Source organism: Homo sapiens, chromosome 6 (genome assembly GCF_000001405.40).
Source record: "Homo sapiens chromosome 6, GRCh38.p14 Primary Assembly".
Lineage (NCBI taxonomy): Eukaryota > Metazoa > Chordata > Mammalia > Primates > Hominidae > Homo > Homo sapiens.
Genome location: NC_000006.12, coordinates 35,273,080 through 35,290,205, shown reverse-complemented (window position 1 = coordinate 35,290,205; position 17,126 = coordinate 35,273,080). Strand labels below are relative to the sequence as shown.

General features: G+C 46.7%; 1 protein-coding gene across 15 annotated transcripts in view, besides 1 other annotated feature; it reads right to left on the bottom strand.

The window, feature by feature from the left end:
• Positions 1-17,126, bottom strand: part of ZNF76 (zinc finger protein 76) — a 36,453-nt gene that overhangs the window by 5,780 nt on the left and 13,547 nt on the right. For 12 of the 15 annotated variants that reach the window (XM_017011249.3, XM_017011256.2, XM_047419300.1 and 9 more), the window contains exons 2-5: positions 8,982-9,150; positions 3,998-4,078; positions 3,807-3,884; positions 2,361-2,560 (exon numbers count right to left, since the gene is read on the bottom strand). In XM_017011249.3, coding sequence (XP_016866738.1) covers positions 2,361-2,560; positions 3,807-3,884; positions 3,998-4,078; positions 8,982-9,054 — 432 coding nt within the window. In that variant the 5' untranslated portion in view covers positions 9,055-9,150. Of the gene's footprint in view, positions 1-2,360; positions 2,584-3,215; positions 3,776-3,806; positions 3,885-3,997; positions 4,081-8,981; positions 9,151-17,126 lie in introns of those variants that run through there. The other 3 variants (XM_017011255.2, XM_047419303.1, XM_011514856.4) reach the window with 2 other exon arrangements.
• Positions 3,189-4,388: an enhancer, noted in NCBI's record as "BRD4-independent group 4 enhancer chr6:35253595-35254794 (GRCh37/hg19 assembly coordinates)". NCBI's record gives its function as "activates an origin of replication core promoter dependent on BRD2, P300/CBP, MED14 and CDK7 cofactors, and independent of BRD4, by STARR-seq in HCT116 cells {active_cell/tissue: HCT116}" and the evidence as "EXISTENCE:reporter gene assay evidence [ECO:0000049][PMID:35650434]".

Sequence of the window (17,126 nt, the reverse complement as noted above, 5' to 3'; positions counted from 1 at the left end):
GGGCCCTGCTGGCAGCTTAAGACCCAACAGGCAGGGTTAAACCTGTCAGGGGCCTCTGGGGCAGAAGAACATAACTAGACGGACAAGGAACAGATGCTGGGGCATGCTACAGAAGAAACAGGGTGGGCATGGGGAGTCACCACCCATCTCTGATGGGATAAAGGGAGACCTACAGGTCATAGTGGCTGTGACGGCTATTGAAGAAAGGCTATCACATAGACAGCTAGGTAAGGTGAAAAGGGAGGTTGTCTGAATGGCCATGCTTGAACTGGACCAAGTGCCAGAAACCCTCCTTCTAAGCACACACACCTAGGAGCCTGCAACTCTCAAGACCTCCATCTTCTGATGGGAGGGGTCCCCTTCCTCCTGGCACGAAACTAGTGCTTAAAAGTACATAAACAAGGGGGCTTGCTGTGGAGATGAGCTCACCTAGGTTCATCTGATAGGACTTGGGGCCCAGAGTGAGGTGGCCACGACCAGAAGCACCCAGGGGAGTGCTGCAGTTTCCACCAGAAATGTCAGCTCTAATGACAGCACCCAGCTGACAAGTCCTCCCCTTTTGTCTCCTCTTCTGGGATATTGCTAAAGCCACCCATCTCACACCAGCCTCTGGATGCAGGGAGCCCTTATTGCTCTTCTGCTTTCCTGGGCAGGGTCCTGGTGGGACTATCCCTTAGTCTTTCTTTCTAGAATGCTTCAGAATCACACTCTGGTCTTTCCAGGAGCTCCTGAAACTGAACTCTACAAGTTACAGTGAGCAGGGGACAGAGGGGTGAGGCCAAATTCATGGCAAGGTCTGTCTAGTTAGGCTCCAGCTCAGAGGCTCAAGCAGCTGAGAGCTTCACGGACACTTAAACAGCTTCTGGGTAGAGGGTAGGGTCAGAGGTGGCCTGACCTGCTTGGCGGGCTAACCCACACAGGCACTTGGATTTCATTCCATGTCTCACTAGCTCCTGGGGTAATCACGGGAATCAAGGGACATCAGGGATGGAAGTGACCTCTGAGATCATCTGGTCCCATCTCATCATATTAGGAATAAGCTGAGGTCGAGGAGAGGAGGGACTCACCCAAGTTTGGACTAGGTAGAGGTAGAGCAAGCATAGATCTCAGGGCTCATGATTTAAATAAAACCCACTTCTCTTTACATCAACATCGAGTCTCAAATTTGGTCTCTAAGATATACCTCAGGGAACCTGGGTGGGAGTGAATGTAGCCTACTGTAAAGTTTTGTGACTTTTTTTTTTTTTTTTTTTTTTAGATAGGATCTCCCTCTGTTGCCCAGGCTGGAGTGCAGTGGGACAATCTCAGCTCATTGCAGTCACCGCCTCCTGATCCTCCCACCTCCGCTTCCCAGTAGCTGGGACCACAGGTGCGCACCACCATGCCCAGCTAATTTGTTTTTGTATTTTTGTGTAGAGATGAGGTTTCGCCATGTTGCCCAGACTGGTCTCAAACTCCTGGACTCAAGCGATCCACCTGCCTCAGCCTCCCAAAGTGCTGGGATTACAGGCGTGAGCCTCTGCTCCCGGCCTGTGCTTCATTTTGAAAAGACATGAGGACTTCCTTTTTTCCTCCATCATTCAGTCACACTGGTTTCATTATAAATAAAAAACCTCCCCCATCTTCGGGTAAAACTGCTGGAAGGAAGGAACGTGCAGGAAGCCCTGGCACATCCAGCCTGAGGCTCTGTAGTCATTCCAGGAAGGGAACACCCTGGTTTGGAAAGCTCAGAGATGTCTGTACCCTTTTCCCCACATGCAGGACCATGGTTTCGGCAGAAAGAACTTGGACTGACTGGTATTTGCAGAGCCAGGACCCTTTTCCTTTCCAGCTGAGCTACTGTGTGGGCCTCATAATCCAGGAATCCCAGCTGTTCTGTTGCACATGCCCTTGTCATAGCCCACTGAGGTTAATTTTCCAAATGACTGAGTCACAGAGAAGAAATAAATACAATTACCTCAGTGGACTAGAAAGCTAATACAAGTCACTGGCAGGGCTTTCCCAGCTAGTGCAGAGGATTACTACAGCAGCCAAAGTGAAGCTGGGCCTAACTCCTCAGCATAAGGATGCCACTGTTTCTTATGGCAGCTTTCCCTCTGCAAAGACAGCGTAAACAAAAGTGAGCGTAAACAGCTGTCAGCGGCCAGGCCAGGCTGTGTTGCATGCCCTAGACAATGATGTGTGACAGGTGAGTTGGGGGAGCTGGGGTGGAGGGGCAAAGGGAATATCCCACATGGTGCCCAAGCACAGGGCTGCCCTTGTCCTCTTGAGAGGTGAAGTTCTGGCAGGGCCAAGAGGCAGTGCGCAGGCCAGGCCCGGTTGTCTAGAGTGACAGACCGTGTCACGCTGTGCGTGCTCACCTTGCTGGCATACTGCTCCAGGGCCACCACTGCGTCTGCACTGAAGCCCTCATCATCCTCTGCTGCCAGGTCCTCCAAGCCCACCTCTGTCTGTACGGCCAGGATGGTGCTCTCCGATGGCACAGCCACAGGGTGGTGAATGTAGGCAGTGGAGCCATCTTCCAGTTGGACGGCTTCCAGGGTGCTGGGGTCATAGCCTTCTGCAGGGAACACGCGGTTAGCCCTGATGCCACACAAGGGGAAGAGATACAGCTGGGACCCTAGCTTTAAGTTAATGAGAGATACATATACCAAGGAGGGTTTCAACATCCAATTTCTCATGGCCCTTCACTTTGTGATTCACTCTTGCTGGCCCTCCTTCTGCAGCTGTCTCACCTAAGGATGAGGTCTCCTATGGTACACTAAATGGGAACTCACAAGCTCCTTGAGGACCTGACAGGGGCCCATCATCATTTTGGCTTAGATGACCACAATAGCCTCCTGACCAGTCGCTCCTCACCCCCTCTAGTTCCCTCCAGGCAGCACAACATCCAGAGGGATCTTTGCGGGACACAAATGTGACCATGTCACTTAACTGCCTCAACAGTTTAAATGCTTCCCACTGGTCTCAGGATAAAGACCAAAATCCTCACCCTGACACTCAAACCCAGAGTGCACCAGCCCTGTCTTTCTCTCTCCAGTTTCCTCCTGCTCATTCTGCCTTCACTCCCAGGGCTCTAGCTCCTAGCAGTTCCTGGAATGTGCTGTTCTTTCTTCCCCCCAGCTCTAGGCCTGCACATGCTATTCCTTCTGCCTGAAGTACTGAACCCTCCCTGCCATCCCTCTTCCCCCAGCTAAGTCTACCTCATTCTTTACCTCTCAGCTCAAGCATCACTACCTCAGAGAAGCCCTCCCTGAGCCTGATCTCTGTTTGTAATGATCAGTTCATCACTGATGGCTTGTTTCACTTCTGTTTCCCCCTCTAGACTCTAGGAGAGCGGGGACTGTGTCTGACTTTGTTCTGTCTTGTATACTGCACACCTAACACAACGCCAGGCATGCAACAGTCACTCAAGAAACCACCTGCGGAAGGAATAAATTGTTATTCTTCAGCACCTTAGGAGCTTCATTCTAAAATATTAGTTTTTTTTCCTGGTCTTGGATGATATCCTCGGGTCCTATTTAAAGCCCTAAGACTTTGTGGCTGTGCTGGAGCCAAGGCCACCATCAAAGTCCACGTCACTGATCTCCAAGGCTCACCTCCCAGTTGCAGACATAGCTGCTCCTGTGGTCTGCACCAGGGAAGGTGGGCAAGGCTGCTAATCCAGGTGAGCATGTGTGTACCATGGAGATGACAGCTCCCATGTCTACACCCCAGTTGTGTGCCATCCCATCCTCCAGTCCTGCCACCCCATCCTCCAGTCCTGCCTCCCATCCTTCCCCGAGTTGTGATGATGGTGACCCTACCTCTGGGTGTGCGGTGTATGTAAGCCATGCTGCCATCTTCCAGCTGCACAGGCTGACCATCCTCAAAGGAGAGAGCTTCTGTAACGAGAGCAATGCCTGCCTTTCCCTGGAGCTCAGTGCCATGGAGGGGTCCCTTGGTGGGGGCTGTCAGGCTTCCCTCGACAAGGCATGGTGTGTTGGGGTGCCCTCACCTTTCTGTACCGTCACCTGGTGAATGTATGCGGTGGTCCCATCCTCGAGCTGGATCACCTGCCCTTCAAGAAGCTTCTCTCCTGTTAAGAGTGGAAATAGAGAGAAATGGGCCAGGACCAGAAGAGGGCTAAGAAACGCCTGCCTGTTTTTAGCTGAGGCTTATTTGAGTCTCTAGGCACGAGCCTGCAGGTCTAAGCATGGGTAACATCTTCCTTGTTCCCTTGCTCTGTCTCCCTGGGCCTGGGCCTTGAGACACTAAGGGTGAAGACACTTGCCTTGCCGAACCCATCACCTCCCAACAGATTCCCTTCCAGTTACTAACAGGAGGAATAACTTCACTTATTATTCTACCCATGCCCAGCCAAGTGGAAACTTCCAACCTAATAGTAAGTTGCTGAGACTTGAACTAATGGCCCTTAAACCTGGATGAGCCCCAGTGGGTCAAAATTCAGATATAGCTCAAACTAACAAAATCAAAACATATCCCCTCATCCCTCACTATGACAGTGTGCTAAGACCAGGAGCCCCTGTGAAGGCAGGATATATAGCTTAATGGTTAAAAACAATAGACTCTGGAACCAGGCCAGGCCTCCAGAGTTTGAATTCCAGCTCTACCTCTTAACAGCTGTGTGACCTTGGACAGCTTATTTAACTAACCTCTCTGTGCCTCAGTTTCCTTTTCTTAAAATGGGGATTGAAAACTGTGTCTCTTATAGGGTTGCTGTTAGGGTTAAATGAGTTAACGAATATAAAAAACTGGGAAGAGTGCCAGGTATATATGGTCAGCCCTCAATAAATCCTAGCTTTTATTATAAGCCCAATATGCATTTTAGAAGAAATGGAAAGTAAAGCAATAGAGAACTATGTGAGCACAACTATTATGCTATTATGTGTCCATGAAGGTCTTATTCCACTGCCACTGTTGAGTAATGTTCCTTCATTGACCTCTCATTTTTCATTTCAATTTTCTAGTAAAAAATTAGATCACCTAAGGCAACACAACAAGCAGCATAAAAATTAACAAGCCTCCAGATTTCCTAAGATATTACTCTTCCTTTACCTTACTGGAAAGCACTTCTAATAAGGCTCTTGAAATTAGAACTAGACGACCCTTCCTTGTGTCCAGTGAGTCTGACAGAGGGGGAAGGAAGAAGAGAAATGAGAAAGGAAAGAAAGGGAGATTGAAGAGTTAATGATGGTCAGATTCGGTGGCTCATGCCTATAATCCCAACACTTTGGGAGGCCAAGGCGGGTGGATCGCTTGAGCTCAGGAGTTTGAGACCAGCCTGAGCTATGTGACAAAACCCTGTCTCTACAAAAAACACAAAAATTAACTGGATGTAGTAGTGCATGCCTGTGGTCCCAGTTACTCGGGAGGCTGAGGTGGGAGGATTGCTTGAGCCCAGGAGGCAGAAGTTGCAGTAAGCCGTGATTATGCCACTGCAGTCCAGCCTGGGTGACAGAGTAAGACCCTGTCTGAAAAAAATAAAAAATAAATAAATAAAAAGGCTGGGCACGGTGGCTTACATCTGTAATCCCAGCACTTTGGGAGGCCAAGGCGAGCAGATCACCTGAGGTCAGGAGTTTGAGACCAGCCTAACCAACATGGTGAAACCCTGTCTCTACTAAAAATACAAAAAAATTAGCTGGGTGTGGAGGCAGGTACCTGTCGTCCCAGCTACTCGGAAGGCTGAGGCAGGAGAATCACTTGAACCCGGGAGGCGGAGGTTGCAGTGAGCTGAGATTGTACCACTGCACTCTAGCCTGGGTGACAGAGTGAGGTCCTGTCTCAAAAAGAAAAAACAAAAAAGTAAGGCTGGGTGTGGTGGCTCACACTTATAATCCCAGCACTTTGGGAGGCTGAGGCAGGCGGATAACCTGAGGTCGGGAGTTCGAGACCAGTCTAGCCAACATCATGAAACCGTGTCTCTACTAAAAATACAAAAAAATTAACCAGGCGTGATGGCACATGCCTATAGTCCCAGCTACTCGGGAGGCTGAGGCAGGAGAATCGCTTGAACCCGGGAGGCGAAGGTTGCAGTGAGCCGAGATCACGCCACTGCACTCCAGCCTGGGCTACAGGGTGAGACTCCGTCTCAAAAAAAAAAAGGAAGAAAAAATAAAAAAAAAGTTAATGACAAGTGATTTGTCCTTTCCTTAGAAGATTGAGGTTTAGGAAACTGAGCGCTCAGGTGGGAAAGACAGTTACTTCCAGCCCAAGTCTCTGCTGACGTCTCCCCTTTAGAGGAATCCCCAAACTTGCTCCCAAACTGAGTCTTCTTGGGGTCAGTAACTAACAGTCCTACAACTAACCAAAGGCAGGTAAGGTGGAGATAAAGGTAAGAAATAGGAAAGGCAGCTGAGATGGGGGGAAGATGAACCCATTTTCTTCCCTCCCACCCACAGAGCAGTAGGCTACCCTCATTTTAACAATTTATCTGTCCTGGCAAGGGCATCAGTACTTGGGGTTCTGAAAGCATCAGCAAGCTACGGCCAGCAGAGTGGGTACTGCTTCAAGGTAGAAAACAAAATGTTGAGAAGAGTTGTCTGAAGAAAAAACTTAGCCTACTATTTCCTCAAACAACCAGAGACTACAATGGAGAGAGGCAGTGGGGAGAACAGCTGACTGACAAGGGCCTCATATCCCATTACAGAGAGGTGACCATACGCCCCAGTTTGCCTGGAACAGTCCTAGTGCATTTATTAATAGCACATTCTTCCACTTTTAAAATGCTGGGTTTGAATAATACATTTTATACTCATCCTAATTAAAGATAAGTCTCTTACAATTTTAGGGCTTCCAGCAGACAGAGACAAAAATGCCTCAGTCAAAAGCTTCAGAGGAGAAGTCAGAGAAGCCTTTCAGGAAAGTGTGGTTCTGGTCTCTGAAGGAGAGCTCTACCCTGAGCAGAGGGAAAATCTGTTGTGAGTGAGTGTGTGTTTGCATATGTGTGTGTGTAAGTGCACACTGCAACACTACAGAGTGGGCAAAGAACAGCCAGGAAGACTGACAGAATAAAGAAATACGTAAGAAGGATAGATATAAGGAAAGAGTGGCTCTCTCAGGTCAGGTGTGGTCACTTGCTTTTTATTCATTTGTTTGACCATTAATTCTCAGTGGAAGACTGAGGCACGGGAACTAACTGGGTCCAAGGAGTAAACACAACCCTAGCTAGAGTTCTAAGTTCTTCCATCCCATGGAGACTGCACTGGAGGGGCAAGACCTGGAGTGGGAAGTCTGCAAACAGAGAGTTTCAGGCTTCAAAAGCATTCTAGAGAAGTTGCGTTCTCAAGAAGATGAAGCCAACAAGAACCCACATGTCACAGACAGCTCTTGACAAGAAACCTTTCCAGAAGGGACCCCCACACACTGTCATATGGAAAGTGCTTACTGATGAGATTAAGGGGACTCCTTAGTCATCATCAGGAAACAGACAACTTAAAATGAAATCAATAAACAACTTATCTGTAAACTTAGGAGCAGAAATATATTCTGAGAGTGTGTTGAAATAAAGGAGGGCAATGTTGCAATGACAGTGCTTCAGGAGGACAGTGACAATCATGGAGTCCAGAAAACGCCAAATGAACAGTAGGAACAAGGCAGTATTTGCCTTGTTCAAGGTGCTGTCCAAGGAAGACACGAATGCTATCTGGCTGCCTGAGAACACTGGCAAGAAAGGAAAAGTGTCCCTGGCCTGCAGGCCTTGCCCTAAACACTTTATTCTGACTCCACACCTACCTTGATTTTAAGTACCTTCAGTGTAAGGATAGAATTGCCAGATAAAATACAGGATGCCCAGGTAAATCTGAATTTCAGATAAACAATACTTTTTTTTTTTTTTTTAGAACTTGGTATTATTATTTTAGTATTTTATAGTATTTAACACCCCCTACTTTTTTTTTAGATGGGGTCTTGCTGTTGTCTAGGCTGACCTCAAACTTATGGCCTCAAGAGATCCTCCCATCTGAACCTCCCAAGTAGCTGAGACTACAGGTGCATGCCACCAAGCCCAGCTTAATCCCACATTTATATATGTCTATCCCTTATAAGGGGTATATGTATGTCCCTAGTATGTGGTATACATACGTCCCTACAACATTTGGGATGTATGTATCCTACAAGAGTATTCATTGTTACGTCCAATTCAAATTTAACTACATGTCCTATATTTTCAATTCTGGCATCCCCTAGTGGGGATTAGGGCATGAGATCTCTGCTTGGGTGTTCCTCTCTGAATCAGGAAGAGTATCTTTTTTTTTTTTTTTTTTTAAGAGATGGGATCTTGCTCTGTCACCCAGGCTGGTGTGCAGTGGTGCAGTGATAGTTCACTGAACCCTCAAACTCCTGGGTTTCAGTGATCCTTCTGCCTCAGCCTCCTGAATAGCTGGGACTAAAGGTGCATGCTGCTGCACCCAGATTATTATTTTTATTATTTTTTTTAGAGACAAGAGTCTTGCTATGTTGCCCAGGCTGGTCTCCAACTCCCGGCCTCAAGTGATCTTTCCATCTCAGCCTTCTGAGTGCTGGGATTATAGACATGAGCCACTATGCCTGGCTTAAAAGAGCATCTTGTACATGGCAGATGCTTAGTAGTTTGAATGTTTGAATATACTTGAATTAAGATGATAAACTGCTTCTAGAAAGCACTAAAAAACTGTGACAGGGGATATCTGAAAAGCAGGGAGTCATAACTAACACTGTGTTCATTCCAGAAATATTTATCAACTGCTTATTACATATTAGGAATTCTGTCTTTGAGAGGTATTGGTTCCTATGACTGGGATTGTCTGACTTGTAGCATTTTATTTTAGAGTTCCCTTTTCATCAAGCACCACAGGAGATTCTAATGCAGAGCAAATTGTGGTGGTGGGCAAGGGTAAGCAGGCGGGAGGGCAAGGTGATGGTGGGACTCTTAGAAATGGACACTCCTTTCCAGAGGCTGAGGGACAGGGCAGGATCCTGAGGTCCCCAGAAATACTTACCTTTGACAGCTTGCTGGACGTAGGCTGTTGTCCCATCACTAAGGGTCACCGTGTGCAGCCCCAAGCTCTCCATGGCAAACTGCTGCTCGTGCACTCAGACATGAAGTTGGCTTCTGGCCAGCACCAAGAGCCACAGCTGAGGTCAGAGATTTCCTTCTGGGTCACAAATCTAAGAAAATAAACAGTATCACATTATGAGTTAACCAGCTTTCTCCTATCGCAAAGACACTCAGGGAAGGAGTTAATGAGGCCAGCCAGCCAAGAAGAAAAAAGATGAATTCTTCAAAGTAGTGAACTATATTGGTTTTTATGAAAAGGGCTCAAAATACACATTATCTAAGAATTCTAAAAGTTAAGCATAGAAGAGAAGCATGCCAATCAAACTGGTCATAAAGTAAGAAATCACTGATCAAAACCCATTTCTAAACTTTCTCCCCTTAGGAAGGAGCCCTGCTGAAGGCAGGCAGTTAACCCCACTGCTGATGGTTCTCTCTGCCTACTCCAACATCTCTCCTGTGCTCGGACCCATTTATCTACTGAGCTTGTTAACCATCCTCAGGGAACATCCCACATGTACCACACGTGGAATAAGTCCTCAACAGAACTCACAATGTGTCCCAACCTTCCAGAACTATTGTACTTCCAGTATCCCCTATCCCAGGGGTGGTATCGCCTTCCACCCAGAACTTCAGGGCGGGGGGGGGGGGGATCATGCTTGAGTCCTCCTTTTCCCTTAAAAGTCCAGGTACTTATTTCAGGCATGTCTCACCTTTCACCTCTGGACAACTATAAGGAGCCTTATAACTTATGTCCTCAGATAAACTTTTGTCTGTTTCCAATTCATTTTCTTTTCTTTCCTTTTTTAGAGACAAAGTATCACTCTGTCGCCCAGCTGGAGTGCAGTGGCTCCATCACAGTTCACTGTAACCTCGAACTCCTGGGCTCAAGTGATCTTCCTGCCTCAGCCTCTTCCAACTCATGTTCTAACATTCATGTTTATGCTGTCAGGGTGAATTTAAAAAAAAAGCTCTCTTCCCACTATCTTGGAGCCTGTAGAGGCCTGCTGAGAACAGGACTTCCAAAAGGCAAATATGGGCGGGGTGTAGTGGCTCATGCCTGTAATCCCAGTGCTTTGGGAGGCTGAGGCAGGAGGATTATTTGAGGCTAGGAGTTCAAGACCAATGTGGGCAACACAGCAAGACATTGTCTCTACAAAAAAAAAAAAATTAGCCAGGTGTAGTGGCACATGCCTGCAATCCTAGCTACACAAGAGGCTGAGGTGGGAGCACTGCCTGACCCCAGGAATTTGAAACTGCAGTAAGCTTTGATCATACCACTGAATTCCAGCCTGGGTGATAAAGAGACTCTGTCTCAAAAATAATAATAAGATAAATACAATACATTTGGAAGGCTGTAGTCCAAGGCCATTTTTTGCTAGCTGTAAGTGGGGCCTCCAGAACCAAAGCGAGGACACAGCTCTTATTAAAATTGAGGTATTGGCCAAGTGCGGTGGCTCACGACTGTAATCCCAGCACTTTGGGAGGCCGAGGACAGTGGATCACGAGGTCAGGAGATTGAGACCATCCTGGCTAACATGGTGAAAACCCATCTCTACTAAAAATACAAAAAATTAGCCGGGCGTGGTGGTGGGCACCTGTAGTCCCAGCTACTTGGGAGGCTGAGGCAGGAGAATGGCATGAACCTGGGAGGTGGAGCTTGCAATGAGCCAAGATCGCGCCACTGCACTCCAGCCTGGGCGACAGAGCGAGACTCCGTCCCAAAAAAAAAAAAAAAAAAAAAAAAAAATTGAAGGTATTTATGCTCGAAATGAAACTAATTCTATTTAGGCAAGAGATGTACTTACATGTATAAAGCAAAGAACAACACACTGACTGCTGGCAGCAAACTGAAGAAAACCAGCATAATCTGGGGAAAGGTAAACTCAGGCCCATGGAAACAGTGGCATGGTTTGTGCTAAATTCCCAAGCAATCTTGCTAAAGCTATTGAACACAGAATCTGTGTGACGCTGTGCCCCTCAAGGACTTAAGCTAATGAAAAGTAAATAAATAAAAGTAGATTTATAAGAAAAAAAGAGTACAAATCTAAACATACCACTTCCTTGACTAAAACCCTTCCATAGTTTCCTACAGCTCTTAGAGTCCACCTTGCATACAAGGCTGGGTTGTTATAAACTCCCACAGCCTAGGTACCACCTTTTCCTAGCACTCACACCTCTGGGCTCAACCTACTTCAGTACTCATCACTATCTGTTTAATGTCCGTTGCCTACACAAGGCTTTGGGCTCTAGCCTGGTTTCTGCGTCACAGTGGTTTCTCCAGCAACTCACACTGTGGGCTCTCCACACATCCTGTGAGTGACTCCCTGGGTCCCTCATGTGCAAGGTGGGAAGCACTGAAGCTTCCTGCTGGCAGGATATCTTCTGTACCCACTGTGGTGTGCAGCCTGCTCTAGCAGTGGACCCCAACACTTGTGAAGCCTGCAGGAAGCCCACGGCCTCTAAACTCAGTGCAGTCGTGAAGACTCTCTTTGACATCCATTCTCAAAATTCTCCTGGACTTGGAATCTGGACTGCCTACTGGATTCTCACGACTTACCAACCGATATCTTTGACTGGTGCTACCCAAACTGTTTTCATGTCAGGGGACCTAGAGAGACAGATATTTGTACATTGCATTGCAGATGCTGCTGCTTAAAGTCAGAAGTTCACATTGCAGATGTCACTGCTTCAAGCCAGAAGCGACCAACTGGGGCTTTGACAGCCCTGAGGGGCGAGCGGATCAATATCTTGGCAAAATTATAGACCATCCAGGAGTTCGAGACCAGCCTGACTAACATGGAGAAGCCCCGTCTCTACTAAAAATACAAAATTAGCTGGGCATGGTGGCACATGCCTGTAATCCCAGCTACTTGGGAGGCTGAGGCAGGAGAATTGCTTGAACCTGGGAGGCAGAGGTTGCGGTGAGCCGAGATCGTGTCATTGCACTCCAGCCTGGGCAACAACAGCGAAACTCCGTCTCAAAAAAAAAGAAAAAAACAAAACAAAAACTGGCTGGGCGTGGTGGCTCACACCTGTAATCCCAGCACTTTGAGAAGTTGAGGCGGGCAGATCACAAGGTCAGGAGATCCAGACCATCCTGACTAACAGGGTGAAACCCTGTCTCTACTAAAAATACAAAAAATTAGCCGGGCGTGGAGGGCGCCTGTAGTTCCAGCTACTCGGGAGGCTAAGGCAGAAGAATGGCATAAACCTGGGAGGCGGAGCTTGCAGTGAGCCAAGACTGCACCACTGCACTCCAGCCTGGGCGACAGAGTGAGACTCCGTCTCAAAAACAAACAAACGAAAAACCCAAAAAAACCTATAGACCAACTGCGACACGCTGATTGGAATGCTCTACCCCAGGCATGGCATCTCAACTAGAATTATTCATTCATTCTGTCCATAAACATTTACTAAATGGGCTAAGGTGCAAGGGCAGCAATACTATTATATAGTGAACACTACTATAGAGTTAACCACGTGCTAGGAATGTCACATACATTAACTCATTTAGTTCTAACAATCCTACAATCAAATGCTATGATTATCCTCATTTAAAAGTGAGGGAACTGGAGGCCCAAGACCAAGTTAAGTAACTTGCTCAAGGTTACACAGCTAACTAGTAAAGGAGGATTTCACCCTAGGCCATTTAATCCAGAGTGTGACCTTAATTACTATGCTGCGAAGCACAGAGGTGAAGCTGGGGGTTTATGAAACTTGAAGCTACTCCAAAATACTTTTTTGGTGTGTGAGCCTTTGCATTTTCCAGGAGAGAGGGAAATCCAAGGCTGTCATCAGGGTCTGATAGGGATTAATGGTGAAGAACCACTGGTCAAGGTGGGGATTCTGACATCTGACATCTCTGGTCTATTAGCATCCTTGCCCAGAGCCCTGATAACCTCCACGTGGTCCCTGTCTCACAAGAGCTCTGCTCCTGGCCTCTCTTGGTCTGCTCTGACCTTCAAGCTTCACTCTCTTCATCAGGTAGATTCTTTGGGTAACCCGCTTTAGTGTAACTGCACTGTGTCAGAAGACACATAAGAGAAACCAGGTCTAAAAACAAAGCAGGCTGGGCACGGTGGCTCATGCCTGTAATCCCAGCACTTTGGGAGGCCGAAGTGGGCGGATCACTTGAGATCAGGAGTTCGAGACCAGCCTGACCAACATGGTGAAACCCCGCCTCTGCTAAAAAAAAAAAAAAATACAAAAATTAGCCAGGTGTGGTAGCACATGCCTAGCTACTTGGGAGGCTGAGGCAGGAGAATTGCTTGGACCCAGGAGGCGGAGGTTGCAGTGAGCCAAAATTGCATCACTGCACTCTAGCCTGGGCAACAACAGCAAAACTCTTGTCTCAAAAAAAAAAAAAAAAAAAAACCCATAAATAAATAAATAAAAATAAAAACAAAGCAGACATAGGTTGAAAAGGGATTGCAAAATATCCTCAGACTCCCTGGGCCCTGTGGCTCCTGCAGCTCACCTCTGTCAAATACTCACATGGTTTAACTGAGCACAACTGCACTCCACTGGGACTTTCTAAGGAAAATCAGTGGTGTGGTTAAGAGCACAGGCTCTGAAGTCAGGTCTGGGTTTTAATCCAGGCTGAACTTCTGTGTAGCCTTGGGCAGGCTCTCTGAGCCTCAGATGTCACTTCTGAGAAAATGGGGATAATAGTGGCACTTGCTTCATAGCCTGCTGTAAGGGATTAAATGAGGGCACATATGCCTGTACTCTAGAAATACCAGCTATCAGGAGGAGGGGAAGGAAGAGGAACCTAAAGGGAAATGCTTTTGAAGCAATACGAAGTCCTAAAACAGCTAGGACTAGTGGCAACCACCCTGGACTAGAAGTCTACAGAATTGGCTTCTAATCTCGATTCTATCTCTATGTCTGCCTCTTTATCTGTAAAATGAAATGCTGGCCCAAATTACCCTAAGATCCTTTCTACTGCTCATGCTAATATTTATTTTTATCACATATAAATGTGATTAATATATACCAGCCACTTTTTAAAGCACCTTACCTATATTAACTCTTAATCTTAAAAATAACTGATGAGGAAGTAGGTATATTATACCCATTTTACAGATGAGGCAACTGAGGCTTAGAGGTATAGTACCTTGTCCAAGGTTCCAACACTACTATGTGTTGAAGCCAGAATTCAAAGCCAGGCTGGCTGGCCCCAGAGCCCATACTTCTCAATATCTGGCGCACTTCTTCCTTCTGCTAATTCACTGTGACTGGCACACCGTCAGCACTCAAAACACTTGAATACGGGTTAACTTCCATCTCACCCACTGTAACTTAAACCCAGACCTTCTTGGCCTACCCGCAATGGAAAAAGGGAATAGCTGGTAGCCACACTTCCCAAAATAACCCTTCTTAGACTCAAAGAAAACAAATTTCCACTCCTTTTCATGTTCTCGCGTACAGGCTAAATAACCTCAACTCATTCACGTTTCCTTCCTAAGTCTCGTAATACAAACCTTTAAAAGAGGCTACTGTTGTTCCCTGACCTTTCCCAATCTCTGAAGCTGCCTTCCAAAAGAGCCTGACTGCAGAGGGTGAGGAGGAAGCTTTGTGGCTGCTAGGCATCTACCAGTGCCCTGATTGCCATTTTTCTCCCTGTACTTTCTTTCAATGATGGTTTACTCTGAATCCTCCCATGCTGGCACTGAACTAACAACAGTGACATGGGCAGAGCCAAAGAAAGGCTTGTTACTGCTTCAGGATGGCTATGTGTGAGTTCTGCCTGCACTTGCCGGTTCAGACTCATTACTCCTGCAGCCCTCCGAGACAGGGCAGAGGGGCAGTGAGGGTGGCTGCTCTGTTTTCTCCTTGTAGGATATAAGGTTTACTAGCTCTGCAATGACCTGAGCTGTGTATAGGGGAGAGACAGACTGGGAGAGCGGAAGGTGAGAAAAGAGTGAAGACAGAAGGGAGCACTCTTGACTCTCCCAGAACTAGGAGCAAATCCAGTTCTGTTTGCTGCAATTTTTTTTCTTTTTTTTTTTGAGATGGAGTCTTGCTCTCACGCCCACGCTGGAGTGCAATGACACAATCTCGGCTCACTGCAACCTCCGCCTCCTGGGTTCAAGTAATTCTCCTGCCTCAGCCTCGTGAGCAGCTGGGATTACAGGCATGCACCACCACGCCCGGCTAATTTTTTTGTATTTTTAGTAGAGACGGGGTTTCACCATGTTGGTTAGGCTGATCTCGAACTCCTGACCTCTTGATCCGCCCACCTTGGCCTCCCAAAATGCTGGGATTACAGGCGTGAGCCACTGCACCCGGCCTGCTGCACTTTTAAATAAACTTAACCCATTACTGGTCCTGATGCAGGAAAACAACCCTTCACCTTTGCAATATATCGATGTGTTTCTTAATGTTAAAACATAAATTGTAATTATTGAGGAGAGAGAACATTTAGAAAAACCTTTTATTTATTTAGAGACAGGATCTCATTTTGTTGCCCAGGTTGGCATGCAGTGATCATAGCTCCTGTAAACTCAACCTCCTGGGCTCAAGCGATCCTCTTGCCTTAGCCTCCTGAGTGGCTGGGACTATAGGTGTGTGCCACTACTCCCAACTTTTTAGATACTTTGGATCTTTAGGTCTCTCCATGAATCAAGATGTGCTTAAACTGCCTCCTCAAAGGAGAAAAATAAGGGATGTGAAAGATAGGAAACTAAAGAGTAGCCATGGTTTTTGTGTTTTTCCACTTTATCATGGTTGAGACCTACTGCGCTCCACACACAAGCTGGGCTGTGCTGACTACAGGCACCTGTTCGCTATTCTATTGTCTTCTGCCAACCAGAACTCTGGACAGTTGGAACAAGGCTTTCTGTACTCTGCCTCAGCCAGCCCAGAGGGCAACTGTATTTAGAAGCCAAAAAAAGAAAACAACAACAAAAACATTTGCCTGAAAAGAATGTTCAATTTTGATTAGCAAAAATAATTATGACTTAATCTTCACTTAGAAACTTCTTCATTTGTAAACATAGAAAACTTCTCATGAGAAAAAAGACACATTAGTTTGGGAGGGATGAAGGCTGATGAAGATGAGTGGCAAACAAATCAGAACCAGATTTGGAAAAGTTGCAGTAAAATGATTCAATGTTTATTATAGAAAAATACTTCACTACACGCAGAAAAACCTAGTGAACAGGCCTGGTTCTGTGGGTTTCTAAACACTGAAGAGAAAACAGGAAATTAGTAACACAAACTTGCACTAACATAAGTTTTAAACAGCTAAAACACATCTTTGCATAAAGCATATTGCTTTTTTTCTTCAATTTTTTTTTTCTTCTTTTTAAAAGAAGAAGCGCCATTTAAAAGAAATCCCAGCACTTTGGGAGGCTGAGGTGGGAGGATCCCTTGAGCCCAGGAGTTTGAGACCAGCCTGGGCAACATAGTGAGACCCCCATTTCTTTTTTTTTTTTTTTTGTGAGATGGAGTCTCCCGGGTTCAAGCAATTCTCCTGCCTCAGCCTCCTGAGTAGCTGGGATTACAGGCATGCACCACCATGCCCATCTGATTTTTGTATTTTTAGTAGAGATGGGGTTTCACCATGTTAGTCAGGCTGGTCTTGAACTCCTGACCTCATGATCTGCCTGCGTTGGCCTCCCAATGTACTGGGATTATAGGTGTGAGCCATTGTGCCTGGCCCTGACTTGGGCTTTAAAAATCAATGTCTGGCCAGGTGCAGTGGCTCACGCCTATAACCCCAGCACACTGGGAGGCTGAGGCAGGCAGATCATTAGAGGTCAGGAGTTCGAGATCACCCTGGCCAACATGGCGAAACCCCATCTCTACTAAAAATACGAAAATTAGCCAGGTGTGGTGGTGCACGCCTGCAATCCCAGCTACTCAGGAGGCTGAGGCAAGATAATCGCTTGAACCTGGGAGGTGGAGGTGGCAGTGAGCTGAGATCACACCACTGCACTCCAGAGTTCACTGGGCAACAGAGTGAGACTCGTTTTTTTTTTGTTTTTTGTTTTTTGTTTTTTTTCTGAGACAGAGTCTCACTCTGTTGCCCAGGCTAGAGTGCAGTGGTGCGAGCTCAGCTCATTGCAACCTCCACTTCCTG